The sequence below is a fragment of the Homo sapiens genome, chromosome 1, assembly GCF_000001405.40.
Source record: "Homo sapiens chromosome 1, GRCh38.p14 Primary Assembly".
NCBI classification, from domain to species: domain Eukaryota; kingdom Metazoa; phylum Chordata; class Mammalia; order Primates; family Hominidae; genus Homo; species Homo sapiens.
The window spans coordinates 90757689-90763178 of NC_000001.11; the positions used below are offsets into that span (position 1 = coordinate 90757689).

The 5490-nt window shown below is 43.5% G+C and overlaps 1 annotated feature.

The window, feature by feature from the left end:
• Positions 3997-4853: an enhancer, noted in NCBI's record as "NANOG-H3K4me1 hESC enhancer chr1:91227242-91228098 (GRCh37/hg19 assembly coordinates)". NCBI's record gives its function as "activates a minimal SCP1, AML or CMV promoter by ChIP-STARR-seq in naive H9 embryonic stem cells {active_cell/tissue: H9 hESC(naive)}" and the evidence as "EXISTENCE:reporter gene assay evidence [ECO:0000049][PMID:30033119]".

Consider the following 5490-nt stretch of genomic DNA (forward strand, 5'->3'; position numbering starts at 1 on the left):
ATCTGATGGTTTTATAAAGGGCAACTCCCCTGCAAATGCTCTCTGGCCTGCCGCCATGTAAGGGGTGCCTTTGCTCCTCCTTTGCCTTCCACCACGATTGTGAGGCCTCCCCAGCCATGTGGAACTGTGAGTCCATTAAACGTCTTTTTCTTTATAAATTACCCAGTCTTGGTTATGTCTTTATTAGCAGTGTGAGAACAGACTAATACACTTGAGTTGCTCCCACATTTTAGCTATTGTGTATAATACTGCTGGGAACATGGGTGTATACATATCTCTTTGAGACCCTGAACCAGGCTTATTTGAAACCTCAATCTTGAAGAAACTGATCTGGCTAAGAATGAAGATTATTTGTAGTATCCAGAGCTACACTGTCCATGTGAAAAACTAGTATGAAGATGGAGAAGGGGAAAAAACAAGCTATCGAAACTGTTGAGCATATTACATATTGGGCACTAGGCTGAACACCATACAAACATTACCTGTGCCCTCAGCTCCACTTTCCAGATGAGGAAACCGAGGTTCAATGATGATACGCAACTTAGCCAAGAGCCATGGACGATAATATTTGAACTCACCCACTTAACTCCAAGGTCTGTGATTTCAAAAACAGTTTCATATGCCTTGGTCATGTGATGCTACCTGCCTGTGAAGGAGAAGTATCTGTACCCTGCTCCTGCTGCCACTTTGTGCCCAACACACCCTAAGAGGACACCAAGGTCAAAGAGGTCTGCGAGTATCTACTGCTTCAGTGCCCACCGGTCAGCATGGAGATGGATTAGTTTGTCACTGTGTCTTACCTGTCTGTTGTAGGTCAGGGTTCCCCAGGAAAAAGACTCTGAGATTTGTGCATAAGAGATTCATCAGGAAGTGCTCTATGGAACAATATCTGTGAGGAATGAGGGATGCAGGAGAAACACCTCACCCAATCCCACAGGGCACTCTGATACCAGGATGGCCCTTGTGAATTATACCACCTTGAGGCAAGGGAGGAGGCAGACTTTTTTTGAGACAGGATCATGCTCTGTTGGCCACGCTGCAGTTCAATGATGTGATCATGGCTCACTGCAGCCTCAACCTCCTGGGCTCAAGTGATCCTCCCACCTCTGCCTCCTGAGTAGCTGGAACTACAGACATACACCACCACACCCAGCTAATTTAAAAAAATTTTTTTTGTAGAGGCGGGGTCTTGCTATGTTGCCTAGGCTGCACAGACTGTTAATCTCTCCTATTGACCATATTTCTGCAGGATGCTTGTGGTTGGGGATGGGGGCATGATTTTAATAACCCAAGGAGAGTGACTTAGCTGAGAGCCATCAGCCATCAAGAACTAGAGGGATGAGTGTGTCAGTCTAAGGGGAACTGGGTGGTCACTACAGCATTCACTATAATAGTCCCTTGCTTCTTGCCCCCTCCTCCTTCCTGGGCATTCTGTCCCATGCAAAGAGGTTAATTCTAGAGATTGGGAATGGGGGGATGGCAGTAATCACATCTCCTGGGATGTTACAAGCTGCATTCAGTCCTGTTCCTATCTGATAAATTATGTGATGGAGGTGGGGACAGGGGAATGGTACCCAGACTCCTGCCAGCTTGGTTGCAGCAGCACAGAAGCACATCTAATCCCAAAGCACCACACTTTGGGCGTTTTATTTGCATCCCTGGGATTTTTCAGTTTAAAAAAAAAAATTCCCTATGTGAGAAAAAAAAGGAGCCAGAAAATAGTCTAAAAGCACATTACCAGGAAATTGTTTCTACTGTGTTTATGACTGTTCTTAATGTTTTATGAATATGCTAAAAAAAATGCTCCGGCATATTTCCTTGGGCACTCTAGTTAATTACTTATTCTGAGTGCTTCTACTCCATTCCCTGCAAAATGTGTTGTGCATTAATTCTGATTATGTACAAAAACCCACCTGCAAGGAAAAACTCTGAATCAGTAATGCTGATAAAATGAGCAGCCCTCCTGGGGCTCCACTGAGAAGGAGGATACTGGACAGAATTAGAATCTTGTAGCTAGGGCTATTCATAATGTCATTAACATAAAGGCAATTAAATGAGTTTTTAACCTACAACCCTTTATTGTTATTAATGAACATTAGAAAAACACAGGAGATAAAATTGGTAATTATCTCTGCACCAAGCTATGCAATAATGTGTTTAAATATAAAAACAAAACAAATGATTATTGTTAGTATTTTCAGTAGCAGAAACCCCAGGAGCAGCTCCATCATATTTAATCACATGGGCCCACACCAAGAGGGTTAATTAAAAGAGGGTTTTTCCTTCTATGTGCCTGGTTGTTCAGTTTAATATGGAATCAGCAAACGTAAATGTAAATTTGCAAAATGTCCTGAGCAGTTGTTTCTGCCTGCAGGTTAACCACCTTTACAGAAACACTGACTAATTCCTCCTCCTTCAGGACAATGGTCTATGGCTCTGTAACTAAGTTTTTCCTTTCTGAAAAAATTACCTCACAACACTTTCAAAGCCCCTTTCAAGAACAACTGTATAAATCCAGGTTCATTGCCTAAGCTTGCTGTTCAATAAAAATAATTTAAGCATTTGAAGAGACATGTAGATTTAAAAAGTAATAATAAATGAGATCTCATCACTATGCCATATTCAAAGAGCCTCCAATTTATTTTTTTTCTTTCTTTATGCAAACTCTACAGCCTATAAATAAGCCCCCCTAGATAGAGCTTGTTTATGAGGATACAGCAGGTAATGTATGGTGGAACACCCTGCATCTAATAATAGTTTTCCATTGATTAATGCAGTTTGTATAGCTTACAATTGAAAATGTTAGTATCACATCCCTTAAAATTTGTTCCAAACTGGCTTTGTTTCCAAAGCCCATTTTTAAGATGATGCATACTTCTAATTTGTCTTTACAGTGGAGCTCAGGGCAAACAATGCCACACAAATGTGACCCTTGGAAACAGATTTTGAACAACTGCCATGGGGCAAAGCTAGTGCTTTTTGTGTTCACTTGATTTTTCTCATATATCCAATTCTACAAAATAATATAATAACTGCTGCTTATCTTTTTTAAAAATAAAATAACTGTAGCAACAACAGATTACATTTGCATATTACTTTACAGTTTACAGAACACTTTGAATAACTGAGAGATACGGAGATGAAAATTATGACAACCCACATTCACTTTCATATTTCATAGGCCTCCTCTATCTCATACATTGTATTACATAGATCGAGCTTCCCTACCTATATGCAAACCCCTTAAGGGTTGAAAGTGAGCCACAAGTGCCAGGATCAGAATTTAGGTATGGGAAATAAAGGGGAGCAATTTTCTTTTTTAAAAGAAGTTGATTACGCCACCCAAAGCTGCTGGGGCTCAGAATTTAAGGCCAAGGATGAATCCCACCTGGCCAACTATCTGATAGATCATTAGAGGTAAAGTCAAGTTAATCAGCAACAGCATTGACGAGGCACAAGGTGAGCCCCTCAATTCTCTCCCAATCTGCATTTTAGAAGGAAGGAGATACCAGTGTCTGGGGCAGTGGAGTGAGGCAGAGCAGCAGGAATTGCTATAAGGTGCCACTCCCTTCCGTACCAGCTTGGTGCGCTGTGTCCTGGCTGGACTGAGGGAGCAACGCTGCAGGCAGCCCCAGGAGCACACACAGCTGCCCGGTCTGTTCTACATGGACCCATTGCCAGTGTCAGATAAGTCCACAGTAGTGCTTTTACCTTCTCAGTTCCAGATTATGGTTCTCATAAAAGGCCAAGACACGTTCTCTGTCTGTAGTCACCCTTTGGCCACTGCCCTGAGCTGGGATCAAGTCACGACACATGGTGCTTCCCTGGGATCTAGGAAAGTCAGGCTGCGAGCAGGGGCCTTGACAGGATGGGTCTCTGTTTATGAAATATCTTTGTGCTGAAACTGTACTTTTAGATGTAGAGCAAGAGGTAAGTGACTTTTCGCTGTAAACTGAGAAAGGTTTCTTCGAACACACGGAGCTTTGGCGTAGGGGGTGGAAGGGGAGAAGTATTCATTAAAGCCATTTGCATTTTCAAGTTCCATTATTCCTGATCCTTCAGAACATGCTGCCCGGCTGGTGCCTCTGCCATGTGGCAGACGCAAGCTCAAGGTCAACCTCCGGCTGTTAGCCAAACAATTGGGATCCGCAGAACACTAAACTTCCCCCTTTCTTGTCACCCTCCCTGGCTATTAACCACCCCTAGGGCACCCTCAGGGGCCGCAAATTTTCTCCTGGCGCCTCCTCTGACTTGTGAAAATTCTAGAGGCCTGTGAGGTGAATGAAGAGCAAGCACAGGGCCATATGCAGGGCCTTTGATGATCTGACATCAGACAGCCGAGGGAGGAGGGACGGTGGCTGGGTGGCTGCTGTATTGTCCACCCTTTGATTTGACTCATTCTGGCTGCCCTGCATGGCTGCTGCCAGTGGGCTGGCCAGAGAGAAGGTGGCCAAACAGCAGAACAATGGCACAGCCTTTCACAGCTGGAAAATCATTTTTTAAAGACCTCCAGGAGGCACCAGTTGGTCCTGGCAGCTGATATTTGATCTAGGGAGTGTGGAGCAGCTGATGCCAAAGTAGGAGTCTCCGGCCCCATTCCAACTGCAGGCTGGCTATGGAGCTGCTCGTTCACTCACCTTCCTTCTGCACCGAAAAAGCCTGGGGCATATCTCCATGCTACATCTCCTGTATTCAAAGACAGAGTCACCTGAGCTCTTCTACCCCTCCCTCCCCAGCCCAACACACACTCATTTTTCACCAAGCTCTCAGAAAGAAAAACAATAAACGCTATTCATAAGACAGATTTCTGCAAGAAAGAATGTCAATTTCACATTCCAGATACTCCGAGAAACAGGAAAATTCTTTGCAAGTGGTCCTGCTTGGACAATTTTGATAGGCTATTTATCTATGCCCATGAGAGTGACACTCATTCACTTAAAAGTGACAGTTGCTTTTAAAAAAATACTAGTTTGATTACAATTTGTCTGGAGTCAGTGCAATTTGGTCTAAGTTTAAATGACTACAATTAAGAGTGTATTATATTTAGAGTAATCATATAGTTAATCATCCAAACTATGACATTTTTTATTTTTTATTTTATTTTATTGAGACGGAGTCTCACTCTGTTGCCCAGATTGGAGTGCAGTGGTGTGATCTTGGCTCACTGCAACCTCCATCTCCTGGTTTCAAGTGATTCTCCTGCCTCAGCCTCCCGAGTAGCTGGGATTACAGGCACCCACTATCACGCCCGGGTAATTTTTGTATTTTTAGTAAAGACAGGGTTTCACCATGTTGGCCAGGCTGGTCTCAAATTCCTGACCTCAAGTGATCCACCCACTTCGGTCTGCCAAAGCGCTGGGATTACAGGTGTGAGCCACTGCGCCCTGCCCAAACTATGACAATTTTTAGAGTGAAAGGGGACTATTATTAACTCTAAAACTGGCATAAACTGCATTGTGTACTAGTGAAACTGGGATTTCTGCATCTTCC